Genomic DNA, 24,873 nt, shown 5'->3' on the forward strand with positions numbered 1-24,873 from the left:
TTTACAGAGCAGTTTTGAAACACTCTTTTTGTGGAATCTGAAAGTGGATATTTGGATAGCTTTGAGGATTTCGTTGGAAACGGGATTACATATAAAATCTAGAGAGAAGCATTCTCAGGAACTTCTTTGTGATGTTTGCATTCAAGTCACAGAACTGAACATTCCCTTTCATAGAGCATGTTTGAAACACTCTTTCTGTAGTATCTGCAAGCTGACGTTTCAAGCGCTTTCAGGCCTATGGTGAGAAAGGAAATATCTTCAAGTAAAAACTAGACAGAAGCATTCTCAGAAACTTATTTGCGATGTGTGTCCTCAACTAACAGAGTTGAACCTTTCTTTTGATACAACATTTTGGAAACACTCTTTTTGTAGAATCTGCAAGTGGATATTTGGATAGCTTTGAAGGTTTCGTTGGAAACGGGAATATCTTCATATGAAATCAAGACAGAAGCATTCTCAGAAACTGCTTTGTGATGTTTTCATTCAAGTCACAGAGTAGAATGTTCCCTGTTATATACCAGGTTTGAGACACTCTTTCTGCACTACCTGGAAGTGGACATTTGGAGCGCTTTGAGGCCTATGATGAAAAAGGAAATATCTTCCCATAAAAACTAGACAGAAGCATTCTCAGAAACTTGTTTGTGATGTGTGTATTCAACTAACAGAGATGAACCTTTCTTTTTACAGAGCAGTTTTGAAACACTCTTTTTGTGGAATCTGAAAGTGGATATTTGGATAGCTTTGAGGATTTCGTTGGAAACGGGATTACATATAAAACCTAGAGAGAAGCATTCTCAGGAACTTCTTTGTGATGTTTGCATTCACGTCACAGAACTGAACATTCCCTTTCATAGAGCATGTTTGAAACACTCTTTCTGTAGTATCTGCAAACGGACATTTCAAGCGCTTTCAGGCCTATGGTAAGAAAGGAAATATCTTCAAATAAAAACTAGACAGAAGCATTCTCAGAAACTTATTTGCGATGTGTGTCCTCAACTAACAGAGTTGAACCTTTCTTTTGATACAACATTTTGGAAACACTCTTTTAGTAGAATCTGCAAGTGGATATTCGGATAGCTTTGAAGGTTTCGTTGGAAACGGGAATATCTTCATATAAAATCAAGACAGAAGCATTCTCAGAAACTTCTCTGTGATGTTTGCATTCAACTCATAGAGTTGAACACTTCCCTTCATACAGCAGGTTTGAAACACTCTTTTTGTAATATTTGGAAGTGGACATTTGCAGCGCTTTGAGGCCTATGATGAAAAAGGTAATATCTTCCCATAAAAACTAGACAGAAGCATTCTCAGAAACTTGTTTGTGATGTGTGTATTCAACTAACAGAGATGAACCTTTCTTTTTACAGAGCAGTTTTGAAACACTCTTTTTGTGGAATCTGAAAGTGGATATTTGGATAGCTTTGAGGATTTCGTTGGAAACGGGATTACATATAAAATCTAGAGAGAAGCATTCTCAGGAACTTCTTTGTGATGTTTGCCTTCAAGTCACAGGACTGAACATTCCCTTTCATAGAGCAGGTTTGAAACACTCTTTCTGTAGTATCTGCAAGCTGACGTTTCAAGCGCTTTCAGGCCTATGGTGAGAAAGGAAATATCTTCAAGTAAAAACTAGACAGAAGCATTCTCAGAAACTTCTTTGTGCTGTATGTCCTCAATTAACAGAGTTGAACCTTTGTGTGGATACAGCATTTTGGAAACATTCCTTTAGTAGAATCTGCAAGTTGATATTTAGATAGCTAGGAAGATTTCCTTGGAAACGGGAATATCTTCATATAAAATCTAGACGGAAGCATTCTCAGAAACTTCTCTGTGATGTTTGCATTCAACTCATAGAGTTGAACACTTCCCTTCATACAGCAGGTTTGAAACACTCTTTTTGTAATATTTGGAAGTGGACATTTGGAGCGCTTTGAGGCCTATGTTGAAAAAGGAAATATCTTCCCATAAAAACTAGACAGAAGCATTCTCAGAAACTTGTTTGTGATGTGTGTATTCAACTAACAGAGATGAACCTTTCTTTTTACAGAGCAGTTTTGAAACACTCTTTTTGTGGAATCTGAAAGTGGATATTTGGATAGCTTTGAGGATTTCGTTGGAAACGGGATTACATATAAAATCTAGAGAGAAGCATTCTCAGGAACTTCTTTGTGATGTTTGCATTCAAGTCACAGAACTGAACATTCCCTTTCATAGATCAGGTTTGAAACACTCTTTCTGTAGTATCTGCAAGCGGACGTTTTAAGCGCTTTCAGGCCTGTGGTGAGAAAGGAAATATCTTCAAATAAAAACTAGACAGAAGCATTCTCAGAAACTTATTTGCGATGTGTGTCCTCAACTAACAGAGTTGAACCTTTCTTTTGATACAACATTTTGGAAACACTCTTTTTGTAGAATCTGCAAGTGGATATTTGGATAGATTTGAAGGTTTCGTTGGAAACGGGAATATCTTCATATGAAATCAAGACAGAAGCATTCTCAGAAACTTCTCTGTGATGTTTGCATTCAACTCATAGAGTTGAACACTTCCCTTCATACAGCAGGTTTGAAACACTCTTTTTCTAATATTTGGAAGTGGACATTTGCAGCGCTTTGAGGCCTACGTTGAAAAAGGAAATATCTTCTCCTAAAAACCAGAAAGAAGCATTCTCAGAAACTTGTTTGTGATGTGTGTATTCAACTAACAGAGATGAACCTTTCCTTTTACAGAGCAGTTTTGAAACACTCTTTTTGTGGAATCTGAAAGTGGATATTTGGATAGCTTTGAGGATTTCGTTGGAAACGGGATTACATATAAAATCTAGGGAGAAGCATTCTCAGGAACTTCTTTGTGATGTTTGCATTCAAGTCACAGAAGTGAACATTCCCTTTCATTGAGCAGCTTTGAAACACTCTTTCTGTAGTATCTGCAAGCGGACGTTTCAAGCGCTTTCAGGCCTGTGGTGAAAAGGGAAATATCTTCAAATAAAAACTAGACAGAAGCATTCTCAGAAACTTATTTGCGATGTGTGTCCTCAACTAACAGAGTTGAACCTTTCTTTTGATACAACATTTTGGAAACACTCTTTTTGTAGAATCTGCAAGTGGATATTTGAATAGCTTTGAAGGTTTCGTTGGAAACGGGAATATCTTCATATAAAATCAAGACAGAAGCATTCTCAGAAACTGCTTTGTGATGTTTTCATTCAAGTCACAGAGTAGAATGTTCCCTGTTATATACCAGGTTTGAGACACTCTTTCTGCACTACCTGGAAGTGGACATTTGCAGCGCTTTGAGGCCTATGATGAAAAAGGAAATATCTTCCCATAAAAACTAGACAGAAGCATTCTCAGAAACTTGTTTGTGATGTGTGTATTCAACTAACAGAGATGAACCTTTCTTTTTACAGAGCAGTTTTGAAACACTCTTTTTGTGGAATCTGAAAGTGGATATTTGGATAGCTTTGAGGATTTCGTTGGAAACGGGATTACATATAAAACCTAGAGAGAAGCATTCTCAGGAACTTCTTTGTGATGTTTGCATTCACGTCACAGAACTGAACATTCCCTTTCACAGAGCATGTTTGAAACACTCTTTCTGTAGTATCTGCAAACGGACATTTCAAACGCTTTCAGGCCTATGGTGAGAAAGGAAATATCTTCAAATAAAAACTAGACAGAAGCATTCTCAGAAAGTTATTTGCGATGTGTGTCCTCAACTAACAGAGTTGAACCTTTCTTTTGATACAACATTTTGGAAACACTCTTTTTGTAGAATCTGCAAGTGGATATTTGCATAGCTTTGAAGGTTTCGTTGGAAACGGGAATATCTTCATATAAAATCAAGACAGAAGCATTCTCAGAACCTGCTTTGTGATGTTTTCATTCAAGTCACAGAGTAGAATATTCCCTGTTATATACCAGGTTTGAGACACTCTGTCTGCACTACCTGGAAGTGGACGTTTGGAGCGCTTTGAGGCCTATGTTGAAAAAGGAAATATCTTCCCATAAAAACTAGACAGAAGCATTCTCAGAAACTTGTTTGTGATGTGTGTATTCAACTAACAGAGATGAACCTTTCTTTTTACAGAGCAGTTTTGAAACACTCTTTTTGTGGAATCTGAATGTGGATATTTGGATAGCTTTGAGGATTTCGTTGGAAACGGGATTACATATAAAATCTAGAGAGAAGCATTCTCAGGAACTTCTTTGTGATGTTTGCATTCACGTCACAGAACTGAACATTCCCTTTCATAGAGCATGTTTGAAACACTCTTTCTGTAGTATCTGCAAACGGACATTTCAAACGCTTTCAGGCCTATGGTGAGAAAGGAAATATCTTCAAATAAAAACTAGACAGAAGCATTCTCAGAAACTTATTTGCGATGTGTGTCCTCAACTAACAGAGTTGAACCTTTCTTTTGATACAACATTTTGGAAACACTCTTTTTGTAGAATCTGCAAGTGGATATTTGAATAGCTTTGAAGGTTTCGTTGGAAACGGGAATATCTTCATATAAAATCAAGACAGAAGCATTCTCAGAAACTGCTTTGTGATGTTTTCATTCAAGTCACAGAGTAGAATGTTCCCTTTTATATACCAGGTTTGAGACACTCTTTCTGCACTATCTGGAAGTGGACATTTGGAGCGCTTTGAGGCCTATGATGAAAAAGGAAATATCTTCCCATAAAAACAAGACAGAAGCATTCTCAGAAACTTGTTTGTGATGTGTGTATTCAACTAACAGAGATGAACCTTTCTTTTTACAGAGCAGTTTTGAAACACTCTTTTTGTGGAATCTGAAAGTGGATATTTGGATAGCTTTGAGGATTTCGTTGGAAACGGGATTACATATAAAACCTAGAGAGAAGCATTCTCAGGAACTTCTTTGTGATGTTTGCATTCAAGTCACAGAACTGAACATTCCCTTTCATAGAGCAGGTTTGAAACACTCTTTCTGTAGTATCTGCAAGCTGACGTTTCAAGCGCTTTCAGGCCTATGGTGAGAAAGGAAATATCTTCAAGTAAAAACTAGACAGAAGCATTCTCAGAAACTTATTTGCGATGTGTGTCCTCAACTAACAGAGTTGAACCTTTCTTTTGATACAACATTTTGGAAACACTCTTTTTGTAGAATCTGCAAGTGGATATTTGAATAGCTTTGAAGGTTTCGTTGGAAACGGGAATATCTTCATATAAAATCAAGACAGAAGCATTCTCAGAAACTTCTCTGTGATGTTTGCATTCAACTCATAGAGTTGAACACTTCCCTTCATACAGCAGGTTTGAAACACTCTTTTTGTAATATTTGGAAGTGGACATTTGCAGCGCTTTGAGGCCTATGATGAAAAAGGTAATATCTTCCCATAAAAACTAGACAGAAGCATTCTCAGAAACTTGTTTGTGATGTGTGTATTCAACTAACAGAGATGAACCTTTCTTTTACAGAGCAGTTTTGAAACACTCTTTTTGTGGAATCTGAAAGTGGATATTTGGATAGCTTTGAGGATTTCGTTGGAAACGGGATTACATATAAAACCTAGAGAGAAGCATTCTCAGGAACTTCTTTGTGATGTTTGCATTCAAGTCACAGAACTGAACATTCCCTTTCATAGAGCAGGTTTGAAACACTCTTTCTGTAGTATCTGCAAGCGGACGTTTTAAGCGCTTTCAGGCCTGTGGTGAGAAAGGAAATATCTTCAAATAAAAACTAGACAGAAGCATTCTCAGAAACTTCTTTGTGCTGTATGTCCTCAATTAACAGAGTTGAACCTTTGTGTGGATACAGCATTTTGGAAACACTCCTTTAGTAGGATATGCAAGTTGATATTTAGATAGCTAGGAAGATTTCCTTGGAAACGGGAATATCTTCATATAAAATCTAGACGGAAGCATTCTCAGAAACTGGCTTTGTGATGTTTTCATTCAAGTCACAGAGTAGAATGTTCCCTGTTATATACCAGGTTTGAGACACTCTTTCTGCACTACCTGGAAGTGGACGTTTGGAGCGCTTTGAGGCCTATGTTGAAAAAGGAAATATCTTCCCATAAAAACTAGACAGAAGCATTCTCAGAAACTTGTTTGTGATGTGTGTATTCAACTAACAGAGATGAACCTTTCTTTTTACAGAGCAGTTTTGAAACACTCTTTTTGTGGAATCTGAAAGTGGATATTTGGATAGCTTTGCGGATTTCGTTGGAAACGGGATTACATATAAAATCTAGGGAGAAGCATTCTCAGGAACTTCTTTGTGATGTTTGCATTCACGTCACAGAACTGAACATTCCCTTTCATAGAGCATGTTTGAAACACTCTTTCTGTAGTATCTGCAAACGGACATTTCAAGCGCTTTCAGGCCTATGGTAAGAAAGGAAATATCTTCAAATAAAAACTAGACAAAAAGCATTCTCAGAAACTTATTTGCGATGTGTGTCCTCAACTAACAGAGTTGAACCTTTGTTTTGATACAACATTTTGGAAACACTCTTTTTGTAGAATCTGCAAGTGGATATTTGGATAGCTTTGAAGGTTTCGTTGGAAACGGGAATATCTTCATATAAAATCAAGACAGAACCATTCTCAGAAACTGCTTTGTGATGTTTTCATTCAAGTCACAGAGTAGAATGTTCCCTGTTATATACCAGGTTTAAGACACTCTTTCTGCACTACCTGGAAGTGGACGTTTGGAGCGCTTTGAGGCCTATGTTGAAAAAGGAAATATCTTCCCATAAAAACTAGACAGAAGCATTCTCAGAAACTTGTTTGTGATGTGTGTATTCAACTAACAGAGATGAACCTTTCTTTTTACAGAGCAGTTTTGAAACACTCTTTTTGTGGAATCTGAAAGTGGATATTTGGATAGCTTTGAGGATTTCGTTGGAAACGGGATTACATATAAAATTCTAGAGAGAAGAGCATTCTCAGGAACTTCTTTGTGATGTTTGCCTTCAAGTCACAGGACTGAACATTCCCTTTCATAGAGCAGGTTTGAAACACTCTTTCTGTAGTATCTGCAAGCTGACGTTTCAAGCGCTTTCAGGCCTATGGTGAGAAAGGAAATATCTTCAAGTAAAAACTAGACAGAAGCATTCTCAGAAACTTATTTGCGATGTGTGTCCTCAACTAACAGAGTTGAACCTTTCTTTTGATACAACATTTTGGAAACACTCTTTTTGTGGAATCTGCAAGTGGATATTTGGATAGCTTTGAAGGTTTCGTTGGAAACGGGAATATCTTCATATAAAATCAAGACAGAAGCATTCTCAGAAACTTCTCTGTGATGTTTGCATTCAACTCATAGAGTTGAACACTTCCCTTCATACAGCAGGTTTGAAACACTCTTTTTCTAATATTTGGAAGTGGACTTTTGCAGCGCTTTGAAGCCTATGATGAAAAAGGTAATATCTTCCCATAAAAACTAGAAAGAAGCATTCTCAGAAACTTGTTTGTGATGTGTGTATTCAACTAACAGAGATGAACCTTTCTTTTTACAGAGCAGTTTTGAAACACTCTTTTTGTGGAATCTGAAAGTGGATATTTGGATAGCTTTGAGGATTTCGTTGGAAACGGGATTACATATAAAATCTAGAGAGAAGCATTCTCAGGCAACTTCTTTGTGATGTTTGCATTCAAGTCACAGAACTGAACATTCCCTTTCATAGAGCAGGTTTGAAACACTCTTTCTGTAGTATCTGCAAGCGGACGTTTGAAGCGCTTTCAGGCCTGTGGTGAAAAAGGAAATATCTTGAAATAAAAACTAGACAGAAGCATTCTCAGAAACTTATTAGCGATGTGTGTTCTCAACTAAAAGAGTTGAACCTTTGTTTGGATACAGCATTTTGGAAACACTCTTTTTGTAGAATCTGCAAGTGGATATTTGGATAGCTTTGAAGGTTTCGTTGGAAACGGGAATATCTTCATATAAAATCAAGACAGAAGCATTCTCAGAAACTTCTCTGTGATGTTTGCATTCAACTCATAGAGTTGAACACTTCCCTTCATACAGCAGGTTTGAAACACTCTTTTTCTAATATTTGGAAGTGGACATTTGCAGCGCTTTGAGGCCTATGTTGAAAAAGGAAATATCTTCTCCTAAAAACCAGACAGAAGCATTCTCAGAAACTTCCTTGTGATGTGTGTACTCAAGTAACAGAGTTGAACCTTCCTTTTGACAGAGCAGTTTTGAAGCACTCTTTTTGTAGAATCTGCAAGTGGATATTTTGATACCTTTGAGGATTTCGTTGGACACGGGATATCTTCATATAAAATCTAGACAGAAGCATTCTCAGGAACTTCTTTTTGATGTTTGCCTTCAAGTCACAGGACTGAACATTCCCTTTCATAGAGCAGGTTTGAAACACTCTTTCTGTAGTATCTGCAAGCTGACGTTTCAAGCGCTTTCAGGCCTATGGTGAGAAAGGAAATATCTTCAAGTAAAAACTAGACAGAAGCATTCTCAGAAACTTCTTTGTGCTGTATGTCCTCAATTAACAGAGTTGAACCTTTGTGTGGATACAGCATTTTGGAAACATTCCTTTAGTAGAATCTGCAAGTTGATATTTAGATAGCTAGGAAGATTTCCTTGGAAACGGGAATATCTTCATATAAAATCTAGACGGAAGCATTCTCAGAAACTGCTTTGTGATGTTTTCATTCAAGTCACAGAGTAGAATGTTCCCTGTTATATACCAGGTTTGAGACACTCTTTCTGCACTACCCGGAAGTGGACGTTTGGAGCGCTTTGAGGCCTATGTTGAAAAAGGAAATATCTTCCCATAAAAACTAGACAGAAGCATTCTCAGAAACTTGTTTTTGATGTGTGTATTCAACTAACAGAGATGAACCTTTCTTTTTACAGAGCAGTTTTGAAACACTCTTTTTGTGGAATCTGAAAGTGGATATTTGGATAGCTTTGAGGATTTCCTTGGAAACGGGATTACATATAAAATCTAGAGAGAAGCATTCTCAGGAACTTCTTTGTGATGTTTGCATTCAAGTCACAGAACTGAACATTCCCTTTCATAGAGCATGTTTGAAACACTCTTTCTGTAGTATCTGCAAGCGGACGTTTCAAGCGCTTTCAGGCCTATGGTGAGAAAGGAAATATCTTCAAGTAAAAACTAGACAGAAGCATTCTCAGAAACTTATTTGCGATGTGTGTTCTCAACTAACAGAGTTGAACGTTTGTTTTGATACGGCATTTTGGAAACACTCTTTTTGTAGAATCTGCAGGTGGATATTCGGATAGCTTTGAAGGTTTCGTTGGAAACGGGAATATCTTCATATAAAATCTAGACGGAAGCATTCTCAGAAAGTGCTTTGTGATGTTTGCATTCAAGTCACAGAGTTGAATATTCCCTTTTATAGAGCAGGTTTGAAACACTCTTTCTGCACTACCTGGAAGTGGACATTTGGAGCGCTTTGAGGCCTATGTTGAAAAAGGAAATATCTTCCCATAAAAACTAGACAGAAGCATTCTCAGAAACTTGTTTGTGATGTGTGTATTCAACTAACAGAGATGAACCTTTCTTTTTACAGAGCAGTTTTGAAACACTCTTTTTGTGGAATCTGAAAGTGGATATTTGGATAGCTTTGCGGATTTCGTTGGAAACGGGATTACATATAAAATCTAGGGAGAAGCATTCTCAGGAACTTCTTTGTGATGTTTGCCTTCAAGTCACAGGACTGAACATTCCCTTTCATAGAGCAGGTTTGAAACACTCTTTCTGTAGTATCTGCAAGCTGACGTTTCAAGCGCTTTCAGGCCTATGGTGAGAAAGGAAATATCTTCAAGTAAAAACTAGACAGAAGCATTCTCAGAAACTTCTTTGTGCTGTATGTCCTCAATTAACAGAGTTGAACCTTTGTGTGGATACAGCATTTTGGAAACATTCCTTTAGTAGAATCTGCAAGTTGATATTTAGATAGCTAGGAAGATTTCCTTGGAAACGGGAATATCTTCATATAAAATCTAGACGGAAGCATTCTCAGAAAGTGCTTTGTGATGTTTGCATTCAAGTCACAGAGTTGAATATTCCCTTTTATAGAGCAGGTTTGAAACACTCTTTCTGCACTACCTGGAAGTGGACATTTGGAGCGCTTTGAGGCCTATGTTGAAAAACGAAATATCTTCCCATAAAAACTAGACAGAAGCATTCTCAGAAACTTGTTTGTGATGTGTGTATTCAACTAACAGAGATGAACCTTTCTTTTTACAGAGCAGTTTTGAAACACTCTTTTTGTGGAATCTGAAAGTGGATATTTGGATAGCTTTGAGGATTTCGTTGGAAACGGGATTACATATAAAATCTAGAGAGAAGCATTCTCAGGAACTTCTTTGTGATGTTTGCATTCACGTCACAGAACTGAACATTCCCTTTCATAGAGCATGTTTGAAACACTCTTTCTGTAGTATCTGCAAACGGACATTTCAAACGCTTTCAGGCCTATGGTGAGAAAGGAAATATCTTCAAGTAAAAACTAGACAGAAGCATTCTCAGAAACTTCTTTGTGCTGTATGTCCTCAATTAACAGAGTTGAACCTTTGTGTGGATACAGCATTTTGGAAACATTCCTTTAGTAGAATCTGCAAGTTGATATTTAGATAGCTAGGAAGATTTCCTTGGAAACGGGAATATCTTCATATAAAATCTAGACGGAAGCATTCTCAGAAACTGCTTTGTGATGTCTTCATTCAAGTCACAGAGTAGAATGTTCCCTTTTATAGAGCAGGTTTGAAACACTCAGTGCACTACCTGGAAGTGGACATTTGGAGCGCTTTGAGGCCCATGTTGAAAAAGGAAATATCTTCCCATAGAAACTAGACAGAAGCATTCTCAGAAACTTGTTTGTGATGTGTGTATTCAACTAACAGAGATGAACCTTTCTTTTTACAGAGCAGTTTTGAAACACTCTTTTTGTGGAATCTGAAATTGGATATTTGGATAGCTTTGAGGATTTCGTTGGAAACGGGATTACATATAAAATCTAGGGAGAAGCATTCTCAGGAACTTCTTTGTGATGTTTGCATTCAAGTCACAGAACTGAACATTCCCTTTCATAGAGCATGTTTGAAACACTCTTTCTGTAGTATCTGCAAGCGGACGTTTTAAGCGCTTTCAGGCCTGTGGTGAGAAAGGAAATATCTTCAAATAAAAACTAGACAGAAGCATTCTCAGAAACTTATTTGCGATGTGTGTCCTCAACTAACAGAGTTGAACCTTTCTTTTGATACAACATTTTGGAAACACTCTTTTTGTGGAATCTGCAAGTGGATATTTGGATAGCTTTGAAGGTTTCGTTGGAAACGGGAATATCTTCATATAAAATCAAGACAGAAGCATTCTCAGAAACTGCTTTGTGATGTTTTCATTCAAGTCACAGTGTAGAATGTTCCCTGTTATATACCAGGTTTGAGACACTCTTTCTGCACTACCTGGAAGTGGACGTTTGGAGCGCTTTGAGGCCTATGTTGAAAAAGGAAATATCTTCCCATAAAAACTAGACAGAAGGATTCTCAGAAACTTGTTTGTGATGTGTGTATTCAACTAACAGAGATGAACCTTTCTTTTTACAGAGCAGTTTTGAAACACTCTTTTTGTGGAATCTGAAAGTGGATATTTGGATAGCTTTGAGGATTTCGTTGGAAACGGGATTACATATAAAACCTAGAGAGAAAGCATTCTCAGGAACTTCTTTGTGATGTTTGCATTCAAGTCACAGAACTGAACATTCCCTTTCATAGAGCAGGTTTGAAACACTCTTTCTGTAGTATCTGCAAGCAGACGTTTTAAGCGCTTTCAGGCCTGTGGTGAGAAAGGAAATATCTTCAAATAAAAACTAGACAGAAGCATTCTCAGAAACTTATTTGCGATGTGTGTTCTCAACTAACAGAGTTGAACCTTTGTTTTGATATGGCATTTTGGAAACACTCTTTTTGTAGAATCTGCAGGTGGATATTCGGATAGCTTTGATGGTTTCGTTGGAAACGGGAATATCTTCATATAAAATCTAGACGGAAGCATTCTCAGAAAGTGCTTTGTGATGTTTGCATTCAAGTCACAGAGTTGAATATTCCCTTTTATAGAGCAGGTTTGAAACACTCTTTCTGCACTACCTGGAAGTGGACATTTGGAGCGCTTTGAGGCCTATGTTGAAAAACGAAATATCTTCCCATAAAAACTAGACAGAAGCATTCTCAGAAACTTGTTTGTGATGTGTGTATTCAACTAACAGAGATGAACCTTTCTTTTTACAGAGCAGTTTTGAAACACTCTTTTTGTGGAATCTGAAAGTGGATATTTGGATAGCTTTGTGGATTTCGTTGGAAACGGGATTACATATAAAATCTAGAGAGAAGCATTCTCAGGAACTTCTTTGTGATGTTTGCATTCACGTCACAGAACTGAACATTCCCTTTCATAGAGCATGTTTGAAACACTCTTTCTGTAGTATCTGCAAACGGACATTTCAAACGCTTTCAGGCCTATGGTGAGAAAGGAAATATCTTCAAATAAAAACTAGACAGAAGCATTCTCAGAAACTTATTTGCGATGTGTGTCCTCAACTAACAGAGTTGAACCTTTCTTTTGATACAACATTTTGGAAACACTCTTTTTGTGGAATCTGCAAGTGGATATTTGGATAGCTTTGAAGATTTCGTTGGAAACGGGAATATCTTCATATAAAATCAAGACAGAAGCATTCTCAGAAAGTGCTTTGTGATGTTTGCATTCAAGTCACAGAGTAGAATGTTCCCTGTTATATACCAGGTTTGAGACACTCTTTCTGCACTACCTGGAAGTGGACGTTTGGAGCGCTTTGAGGCCTATGTTGAAAAAGGAAATATCTTCCCATAAAAACTAGACAGAAGCATTCTCAGAAACTTGTTTGTGATGTGTGTATTCAACTAACAGAGATGAACCTTTCTTTTTACAGAGCAGTTTTGAAACACTCTTTTTGTGGAATCTGAAAGTGGATATTTGGATAGCTTTGAGGATTTCGTTGGAAACGGGATTACATATAAAACCTAGAGAGAAGCATTCTCAGGAACTTCTTTGTGATGTTTGCATTCAAGTCACAGAACTGAACATTCCCTTTCATAGAGCAGGTTTGAAACACTCTTTCTGTAGTATCTGCAAGCTGACGTTTCAAGCGCTTTCAGGCCTATGGTGAGAAAGGAAATATCTTCAAGTAAAAACTAGACAGAAGCATTCTCAGAAACTTATTTGCGATGTGTGTCCTCAACTAACAGAGTTGAACCTTTCTTTTGATACAACATTTTGGAAACACTCTTTTTGTAGAATCTGCAAGTGGATATTTGGATAGCTTTGAAGGTTTCGTTGGAAACGGGAATATCTTCATATGAAATCAAGACAGAAGCATTCTCAGAAAGTGCTTTGTGATGTTTGCATTCAAGTCACAGAGTTGAATGTTCCCTTTTATAGAGCAGGTTTGAAACACTCTTTCTGCACTACCTGGAAGTGGACATTTGGAGCGCTTTGAGGCCTATGTTGAAAAAGGAAATATCTTCCCATAAAAACTAGACAGAAGCATTCTCAGAAACTTGTTTGTGATGTGTGTATTCAACTAACAGAGATGAACCTTTCTTTTTACAGAGCAGTTTTGAAACACTCTTTTTGTGGAATCTGAAAGTGGATATTTGGATAGCTTTGCGGATTTCGTTGGAAACGGGATTACATATAAAACCTAGAGAGAAGCATTCTCAGGAACTTCTTTGTGATGTTTGCATTCAAGTCACAGAACTGAACATTCCCTTTCATAGAGTAGGTTTGAAACACTCTTTCTGTAGTATCTGCAAGCGGACGTTTTAAGCGCTTTCAGGCCTGTGGTGAGAAAGGAAATATCTTCAAATAAAAACTAGACAGAAGCATTCTCAGAAACTTATTTGCGATGTGTGTCCTCATCTAACAGAGTTGAACCTTTCTTTTGATACAACATTTTGGAAACACTCTTTTTGTAGAATCTGCAAGTGGATATTTGGATAGCTTTGAAGGTTTCGTTGGAAACGGGAATATCTTCATATGAAATCAAGACAGAAGCATTCTCAGAAACTGCTTTGTGATGTTCTCATTCAAGTCACAGAGTAGAATGTTCCCTGTTATATACCAGGTTTGAGACACTCTTTCTGCACTACCTGGAAGTGGACATTTGCAGCGCTTTGAGGCCTATGATGAAAAAGGAAATATCTTCCCATAAAAACTAGACAGAAGCATTCTCAGAAACTTGTTTGTGATGTGTGTATTCAACTAACAGAGATGAACCTTTCTTTTTACAGAGCAGTTTTGAAACACTCTTTTTGTGGAATCTGAAAGTGGATATTTGGATAGCTTTGAGGATTTCGTTGGAAACGGGATTACATATAAAACCTAGAGAGAAGCATTCTCAGGAACTTCTTTGTGATGTTTGCATTCACGTCACAGAACTGAACATTCCCTTTCATAGAGCATGTTTGAAACACTCTTTCTGTAGTATCTGCAAACGGACATTTCAAACGCTTTCAGGCCTATGGTGAGAAAGGAAATATCTTCAAGTAAAAACTAGACAGAAGCATTCTCAGAAACTTCTTTGTGCTGTATGTCCTCAATTAACAGAGTTGAACCTTTGTGTGGATACAGCATTTTGGAAACATTCCTTTAGTAGAATCTGCAAGTTGATATTTAGATAGCTAGGAAGATTTCCTTGGAAACGGGAATATCTTCATATAAAATCTAGACGGAAGCATTCTCAGAAACTGCTTTGTGATGTTTTCATTCAAGTCACAGAGTAGAATGTTCCCTGTTATATACCAGGTTTGAGACACTCTTTCTGCACTACCTGGAAGTGGACATTTGCAGCGCTTTGAGGCCTATGATGAAAAAGGAAATATCTTCCCATAAAAACTAGACAGAAGCATTCTCAGAAACTTGTTTGTGATGTGTGTATTCAACTAACAGAGATGAACCTTTCTTTTTACAGAGCAGTTTTGAAACACTCTTTTTGTGGAATCTGAAAGTGGATATTTGGATAGCTTTGAGGATTTCGTTGGAAACGGGATTACATATAAAACCTAGAGAGAAGCATTCTCAGGAACTTCTTTGTGATGTTTGCCTTCAAGTCACAGGACTGAACATTCCCTTTCATAGAGCAGGTTTGAAACACTCTTTCTGTAGTATCTGCAAGCTGACGTTTCAAGCGCTTTCAGGCCTATGGTGACAAAGGAAATATCTTCAAGTAAAAACTAGACAGAAGCATTCTCAGAAACTTCTTTGTGCTGTATGTCCTCAATTAACAGAGTTGAACCTTTGTGTGGATACAGCATTTTGGAAACATTCCTTTAGTAGAATCTGCAAGTTGATATTTAGATAGCTAGGAAGATTGCCTTGGAAACGGGAATATGTTCATATAAAATCTAGCCGGAAGCATTCTCAGAAACTGCTTTGAGATATTTTCATTCATGTCACAGAGGAGAATGTTCCCTTTTATAGAGCAGGTTTGAAACACTCTGTGCACTACATGGAAGTGGACATTTGGAGCGCTTTGAGGCCTATGCGGAAAAAGGAAATATCTTCCCATAAAAACTAGACAGAAGCATTCTCAGAAACTTGTTTGTGATGTGTGTATTCAACTAACAGAGATGAACCTTTCTTTTTACAGAGCAGTTTTGAAACACTCTTTTTGTGGAATCTGAAAGTGGATATGTGGATAGCTTTGAGGATTTCGTTGGAAACGGGATTACATATAAAATCTAGAGAGAAGCATTCTCAGGAACTTCTTTGTGATGTTTGCATTCACGTCACAGAACTGAACATTCCCTTTCATAGAGCATGTTTGAAACACTCTTTCTGTAGTATCTGCAAACGGACATTTCAAACGCTTTCAGGCCTATGGTGAGAAAGGAAATATCTTCAAGTAAAAACTAGACAGAAGCATTCTCAGAAACTTATTTGCGATGTGTGTCCTCAACTAACAGAGTTGAACCTTTCTTTTGATACAACATTTTGGAAACACTCTTTTTGTAGAATCTGCAAGTGGATATTTGGATAGCTTTGAAGGTTTCGTTGGAAACGGGAATATCTTCATATGAAATCAAGACAGAAGCATTCTCAGAAAGTGCTTTGTGATGTTTGCATTCAAGTCACAGAGTTGAATATTCCCTTTTATAGAGTAGGTTTGAAACACTCTTTCTGCACTACCTGGAAGTGGACATTTGGAGCGCTTTGAGGCCTATGTTGAAAAAGGAAATATCTTCCCATAAAAACTAGACAGAAGCATTCTCAGAAACTTGTTTGTGATGTGTGTATTCAACTAACAGAGATGAACCTTTCTTTTTACAGAGCAGTTTTGAAACACTCTTTTTGTGGAATCTGAAAGTGGATATTTGGATAGCTTTGAGGATTTCGTTGGAAACGGGATTACATATAAAACCTAGAGAGAAGCATTCTCAGGAACTTCTTTGTGATGTTTGCCTTCAAGTCACAGGACTGAACATTCCCTTTCATAGAGCAGGTTTGAAACAGTCTTTCTGTAGTATCTGCAAGCTGACGTTTCATGCGCTTTCAGGCCTATGGTGAGAAAGGAAATATCTTCAAGTAAAAACTAGACAGAAGCATTCTCAGAAACTTATTTGCGATGTGTGTCCTCAACTAACAGAGTTGAACCTTTCTTTTGATACAACATTTTGGAAACACTCTTTTTGTAGAATCTGCAAGTGGATATTTGGATAGCTTTGAAGGTTTCGTTGGAAACGGGAATATCTTCATATGAAATCAAGACAGAAGCATTCTCAGAAAGTGCTTTGTGATGTTTGCATTCAAGTCACAGAGTTGAATATTCCCTTTTATAGAGCAGGTTTGAAACACTCTTTCTGCACTACCTGGAAGTGGACATTTGGAGCGCTTTGAGGCCTATGTTGAAAAAGGAAATATCTTCCCATAAAAACTAGACAGAAGCATTCTCAGAAACTTGTTTGTGATGTGTGTATTCAACTAACAGAGATGAACCTTTCTTTTTACAGAGCAGTTTTGAAACACTCTTTTTGTGGAATCTGAAAGTGGATATTTGGATAGCTTTGAGGATTTCGTTGGAAACGGGATTACATATAAAACCTAGAGAGAAGCATTCTCAGGAACTTCTTTGTGATATTTGCATTCAAGTCACAGAACTGAACATTCCCTTTCATAGAGCAGCTTTGAAACACTCTTTCTGTAGTATCTGCAGGCGGACGTTTCAAGCGCTTTCAGGCCTGTGGTGAAAAAGGAAATATCTTCAAATAAAAACTAGACAGAAGCATTCTCAGAAACTTCTTTGTGCTGTATGTCCTCAATTAACAGAGTTGAACCTTTGTGTGGATACAGCATTTTGGAAACATTCTTTTAGTAGAATCTGCAAGTTGATATTTAGATAGCTAGGAAGATTTCCTTGGAAACGGTAATATCTTCATATAAAATCTAGACGGAAGCATTCTCAGAAACTTCTCTGTGATGTTTGCATTCAACTCATAGAGTTGAACACTTCCCTTCATACAGCAGGTTTGAAACACTCTTTTTGTAATATTTGGAAGTGGACATTTGCAGCGCTTTGAGGCCTATGATGAAAAAGGTAATATCTTCCCATAAAAACTAGACAGAAGCATTCTCAGAAACTTGTTTGTGATGTGTGTATTCAAACTAACAGAGATGAACCTTTCTTTTTACAGAGCAGTTTTGAAACACTCTTTTTGTGGAATCTGAAAGTGGATATTTGGATAGCTTTGAGGATTTCGTTGGAAACGGGATTACATATAAAACCTAGAGAGAAGCATTCTCAGGAACTTCTTTGTGATGTTTGCATTCAAGTCACAGAACTGAACATTCCCTTTCATAGAGCAGGTTTGAAACACTCTTTCTGTAGTATCTGCAAGCTGACGTTTCAAGCGCTTTCAGGACTATGGTGAGAAAGGAAATATCTTCAAGTAAAAACTAGACAGAAGCATTCTCAGAAACTTATTTGCGATGTGTGTTCTCAACTAACAGAGTTGAACCTTTGTTTTGATATGGCATTTTGGAAACACTCTTTTTGTAGAATCTGCAGGTGGATATTCGGATAGCTTTGAAGGTTTCGTTGGAAACGGGAATATCTTCATATAAAATCTAGACGGAAGCATTCTCAGAAACTGCTTTGTGATGTTTTCATTCAAGTCACAGAGTAGAATGTTCCCTGTTATATACCAGGTTTGAGACACTCTTTCTGCACTACCTGGAAGTGGACATTTGCAGCGCTTTGAGGCCTATGATGAAAAAGGAAATATCTTCCCATAAAAACTAGACAGAAGCATTCTCAGAAACTTGTTTGTGATGTGTGTATTCAACTAACAGAGATGAACCTTTCTTTTTACAGAGCAGTTTTGAAGCACTCTTTTTGTAGAATCTGCAAGTGGATATTTTGATACCATTGAGGATTTCGTTGGACATGGGATATCTTCATATAAAATCTAGACAGAAGCATTCTCAGAAACTTCTTTGTGCTGTATGTCCTCAATTAACAGAGTTGAACCTTTGTGTGGATACAGCATTTTGGAAACATTCCTTTAGTAGAATCTGCAAGTTGATATTTAGATAGCTAGGAAGAGTTCCTTGGAAACGGGAATATCTTCATATAAAATCTAGACGGAAGCATTCTCAGAAAGTGCTTTGTGATGTTTGCATTCAAGTCACAGAGTTGAATGTTCCCTTTTATAGAGCAGGTTTGAAACACTCTTTCTGAACTACCTGGAAGTGGACGTTTGGAGCGCTTTGAGGCCTATGTTGAAAAAGGAAATATCTTCCCATAAAAACTAGACAGAAGCATTCTCAGAAACTTGTTTGTGATGTGTGTATTCAACTAACAGAGATGAACCCTTCTTTTTACAGAGCAGTTTTGAAACACTCTTTTTGTGGAATCTGAAAGTGGACATTTGGATAGCTTTGCGGATTTCGTTGGAAACGGGATTACATAGAAAATCTAGGGAGAAGCATTCTCAGGAACTTCTTTGTGATGTTTGCATTCAAGTCATAGAACTGAACATTCCCTTTCATAGAGCAGGTTTGAAACACTCTTTCTGTAGTATCTGCAAGCGGACATTTTAAGCGCTTTCAGGCCTGTGGTGAGAAAGGAAATATCTTCAAATAAAAACTAGACAGAAGCATTCTCAGAAACTTCTTTGTGCTGTATGTCCTCAATTAACAGAGTTGAACCTTTGTGTGGATACAGCATTTTGGAAACATTCCTTTAGTAGAATCTGCAAGTTGATATTTAGATAGCTAGGAAGATTTCCTTGGAAACGGGAATATCTTCATATAAAATCTAGACGGAAGCATTCTCAGAAACTTCTCTGTGATGTTTGCATTCAACTCATAGAGTTGAACACTTCCCTTCATACAGCAGGTTTGAAACACTCTTTTTGTAATATTTGGAAGTGGACATTTGCAGCGCTTTGAGGCCTATGATGAAAAAGGAAATATCTTCCCATAAAAACTAGACAGGAAGCATTCTCAGAAACTTGTTTGTGATGTGTGTATTCAACTAACAGAGATGAACCTTTCTTTTTACAGAGCAGTTTTGAAACACTCTTTTTGTGGAATCTGAAAGTGGATATTTGGATAGCTTTGAGGATTTCGTTGGAAACGGGATTACATATAAAATCTAGAGAGAAGCATTCTCAGGAACTTCTTTGTGATGTTTGCATTCAAGTCACAGAACTGAACATTCCCTTTCATAGAGCAGGTTTGAAACACTCTTTCTGTAGTATCTGCAAGCGGACGTTTTAAGCGCTTTCAGGCCTGTGGTGAGAAAGGAAATATCTTCAAATAAAAACTAGACAGAAGCATTCTCAGAGACTTATTTGCGATGTGTGTCCTCAACTAACAGAGTTGAACCTTTCTTTTGATACAACATTTTGGAAACACTCTTTTTGTAGAATCTGCAAGTGGATATTTGGATAGCTTTGAAGGTTTCGTTGGAAACGGGAATATCTTCATATGAAATCAAGACAGAAGCATTCTCAGAAACTGCTTTGTGATGTTTTCATTGAAGTCACAGAGTAGAATGTTCCCTTTTATATACCAGGTTTGAGACACTCTTTCTGCACTATCTGGAAGTGGACATTTGGAGCGCTTTGAGGCCTATGATGAAAAAGGAAATATCTTCCCATAAAAACTAGACAGAAGCATTCTCAGAAACTTGTTTGTGATGTGTGTATTCAACTAACAGAGATGAACCTTTCTTTTTACAGAGCAGTTTTGAAACACTCTTTTTGTGGAATCTGAAAGTGGATATTTGGATAGCTTTGAGGATTTCGTTGGAAACGGGATTACATATAAAACCTAGAGAGAAGCATTCTCAGGAACTTCTTTGTGATGTTTGCCTTCAAGTCACAGGACTGAACATTCCCTTTCATAGAGCAGGTTTGAAACACTCTTTCTGTAGTATCTGCAAGCTGACGTTTCAAGCGCTTTCAGGCCTATGGTGAGAAAGGAAATATCTTCAAGTAAAAACTAGACAGAAGCATTCTCAGAAACTTATTTGCGATGTGTGTCCTCAACTAACAGAGTTGAACCTTTCTTTTGATACAACATTTTGGAAACACTCTTTTTGTAGAATCTGCAAGTGGATATTTGGATAGCTTTGAAGGTTTCGTTGGAAACGGGAATATCTTCATATGAAATCAAGACAGAAGCATTCTGAGAAACTGCTTTGTGATGTTTTCATTCAAGTCACAGAGTAGAATGTTCCCTGTTATATACCAGGTTTGAGACACTCTTTCTGCACTACCTGGAAGTGGACGTTTGGAGCGCTTTGAGGCCTATGTTGAAAAAGGAAATATCTTCCCATAAAAACTAGACAGAAGCATTCTCAGAAACTTGTTTGTGATGTGTGTATTCAACTAACAGAGATGAACCTTTCTTTTTACAGAGCAGTTTTGAAACACTCTTTTTGTGGAATCTGAAAGTGGATATTTGGATAGCTTTGAGGATTTCGTTGGAAACGGGATTACATATAAAATCTAGAGAGAAGCATTCTCAGGAACTTCTTTGTGATGTTTGCATTCAAGTCACAGAACTGAACATTCCCTTTCATAGAGCAGGTGTGAAACACTCTTTCTGTAGTATCTGCAAGCTGACGTTTCAAGCGCTTTCAGGCCTATGGTGAGAAAGGAAATATCTTCAAGTAAAAACTAGACAGAAGCATTCTCAGAAACTTATTTGCGATGTGTGTCCTCAACTAACAGAGTTGAACCTTTCTTTTGATACAACATTTTGGAAACACTCTTTTTGTAGAATCTGCAAGTGGATATTTGGATAGCTTTGAAGGTTTCGTTGGAAACGGGAATATCTTCATATGAAATCAAGACAGAAGCATTCTCAGAAACTTCTCTGTGATGTTTGCATTCAACTCATAGAGTTGAACACTTCCCTGCATACAGCAGGTTTGAAGCACTCTTTTTGTAATATTTGGAAGTGGACATTTGCAGCGCTTTGAGGCCTATGATGAAAAAGGAAATATCTTCCCATAAAAACTAGACAGAAGCATTCTCAGAAACTTGTTTGTGATGTGTGTATTCAACTAACAGAGATGAACCTTTCTTTTTACAGAGCAGTTTTGAAACACTCTTTTTGTGGAATCTGAAAGTGGATATTTGGATAGCTTTGAGGATTTCGTTGGAAACGGGATTACATATAAAACCTAGAGAGAAGCATTCTCAGGAACTTCTTTGTGATGTTTGCATTCAAGTCACAGAACTGAACATTCCCTTTCATAGAGCAGGTTTGAAACACTCTTTCTGTAGTATCTGCAAGCGGACGTTTTAAGCGCTTTCAGGCCTGTGGTGAGAAAAGAAATATCTTCAAATAAAAACTAGACAGAAGCTTTCTCAGAAACTTATTTGCGATGTGTGTCCTCAACTAACAGAGTTGAACCTTTCTTTTGATACAACATTTTGGAAACACTCTTTTTGTAGAATCTGCAAGTGGATATTTGAATAGCTTTGAAGGTTTCGTTGGAAACGGGAATATCTTCATATAAAATCAAGACAGAAAGCATTCTCAGAAAGTGCTTTGTGATGTTTGCATTCAAGTCACAGAGTTGAATGTTCCCTTTTATAGAGCAGGTTTGAAACACTCTTTCTGCACTACCTGGAAGTGGACATTTGGAGTGCTTTGAGGCCTATGTTGAAAAAGGAAATATCTTCCCATAAAAACTAGACAGAAGCATTCTCAGAAACTTGTTTGTGATGTGTGTATTCAACTAACAGAGATGAACCTTTCTTTTTACAGAGCAGTTTTGAAACACTCTTTTTGTGGAATCTGAAAGTGGATATTTGGATAGCTTTGAGGATTTCGTTGGAAACGGGATTACATATAAAACCTAGAGAGAAGCATTCTCAGGAACTTCTTTGTGATGTTTGCATTCACGTCACAGAACTGAACATTCCCTTTCATAGAGCATGTTTGAAACACTCTTTCTGTAGTATCTGCAAACGGACATTTCAAACGCTTTCAGGCCTATGGTGAGAAAGGAAATATCTTCAAATAAAAACTAGACAGAAGCATTCTCAGAAACTTATTTGCGATGTGTGTCCTCAACTAACAGAGTTGAACCTTTCTTTTGATACAACATTTTGGAACCACTCTTTTTGTAGAATCTGCAAGTGGATATTTGGATAGCTTTGAAGGTTTCGTTGGAAACGGGAATATCTTCATATAAAATCAACACAGAAGCATTCTCAGAAACTGCTTTGTGATGTTTTCATTCAAGTCACAGAGTAGAATGTTCCCTGTTATATACCAGGTTTGAGACACTCTTTCTGCACTACCTGGAAGTGGACGTTTGGAGCGCTTTGAGGCCTATGTTGAAAAAGGAAATATCTTCCCATAAAAACTAGACAGAAGCATTCTCAGAAACTTGTTTGTGATGTGTGTATTCAACTAACAGAGATGAACCTTTCTTTTTACAGAGCAGTTTTGAAACACTCTTTTTGTGGAATTTGAAAGTGGATATTTGGATAGCTTTGCGGATTTCGTTGGAAACGGGATTACATATAAAATCTAGGGAGAAGCACTCTCAGGAATTTTTTTGTGATGATTGCATTCTCATCACAGAACTGAACATTCCCTTTCATAGAGCAGGTTTGAAACACTCTTTCTGTAGTATCTGCAAACGGACATTCCAAGCGCTTTCAGGCCTATGGTGAGAAAGGAAATATCTTCAAATAAAAACCAGACAGAAGCATTCTCAGAAACTTATTTGCGATGTGTGTCCTCAACTAACAGAGTTGAACCTTTGTTTTGATACAGCATTTTGGAAACACTCTTTTTGTAGGATCTGCAGGTGGATATTTGGATAGCTTTTAAGGTTTCGTTGGAAACGGGAATATCTTCATATAAAATCAAGACAGAAGCATTCTCAGAAACTGCTTTGTGATGTTTTCATTCAAGTCACAGAGTAGAATGTTCCCTGTTATACACCAGGTTTGAGACACTCTTTCTGCACTACCTGGAAGTGGACGTTTGGAGCGCTTTGAGGCCTATGTTGAAAAAGGAAATATCTTCCCATAAAAACTAGACAGAAGCATTCTCAGAAACTTGTTTGTGATGTGTGTATTCAACTAACAGAGATGAACCTTTCTTTTTACAGAGCAGTTTTGAAACACTCTTTTTGTGGAATCTGAAAGTGGATATTTGGATAGCTTTGAGGATTTCGTTGGAAACGGGATTACATATAAAACCTAGAGAGAAGCATTCTCAGGAACTTCTTTGTGATGTTTGCATTCAAGTCACAGAACTGAACATTCCCTTTCATAGAGCATGTTTGAAACACTCTTTCTGTAGTATCTGCAAACGGACATTTCAAACGCTTTCAGGCCTATGGTGAGAAAGGAAATATCTTCAAATAAAAACTAGACAGAAGCATTCTCAGAAACTTATTTGCGATGTGTGTCCTCAACTAACAGAGTTGAACCTTTCTTTTGATACAACATTTTGGAAACACTCTTTTTGTAGAATCTGCAAGTGGATATTTGAATAGCTTTGAAGGTTTCTTTGGAAACGGGAATATCTTCATATAAAATCAAGACAGAAGCATTCTCAGAAACTTCTCTGTGATGTTTGCATTCAACTCATAGAGTTGAACACTTCCCTTCATACAGCAGGTTTGAAACACTCTTTTTGTAATATTTGGAAGTGGACATTTGCAGCGCTTTGAGGCCTATGATGAAAAAGGAAATATCTTCCCACAAAAACTAGACAGAAGCATTCTCAGAAACTTGTTTGTGATGTGTGTATTCAACTAACAGAGATGAACCTTTCTTTTTACAGAGCAGTTTTGAAACACTCTTTTTGTGGAATCTGAAAGTGGATATTTGGATAGCTTTGAGGATTTCGTTGGAAACGGGATTACATATAAAACCTAGAGAGAAGCATTCTCAGGAACTTCTTTGTGATGTTTGCATTCACGTCACAGAACTGAACATTCCCTTTCATAGAGCATGTTTGAAACACTCTTTCTGTAGTATCTGCAAACGGACATTTCAAACGCTTTCAGGCCTATGGTGAGAAAGGAAATATCTTCAAATAAAAACTAGACAGAAGCATTCTCAGAAACTTATTTGCGATGTGTGTCCTCAACTAACAGAGTTGAACCTTTCTTTTGATACAACATTTTGGAAACACTCTTTTTGTAGAATCTGCAAGTGGATATTTGGATAGCTTTGAAGGTTTCGTTGGAAACGGGAATATCTTCATATGAAATCAAGACAGAAGCATTCTCAGAAAGTGCTTTGTGATGTTTGCATTCAAGTCACAGAGTTGAATATTCCCTTTTATAGAGCAGGTTTGAAACACTCTTTCTGCACTACCTGGAAG

The 24,873-nt window shown here is 37.4% G+C and overlaps 1 annotated feature.

Annotated features, from left to right (window-relative positions):
- Positions 1-24,873: part of a centromere (Linear centromere model derived predominantly from reads generated in PMID: 17803354. This region does not represent an actual centromere sequence, as long-range ordering of repeats and unmapped WGS contigs is not provided by the model. For details of model production, see http://arxiv.org/abs/1307.0035.) that runs on past both edges of the window.

The sequence above is a fragment of the Homo sapiens genome, chromosome 9, assembly GCF_000001405.40.
Source record: "Homo sapiens chromosome 9, GRCh38.p14 Primary Assembly".
Lineage (NCBI taxonomy): Eukaryota > Metazoa > Chordata > Mammalia > Primates > Hominidae > Homo > Homo sapiens.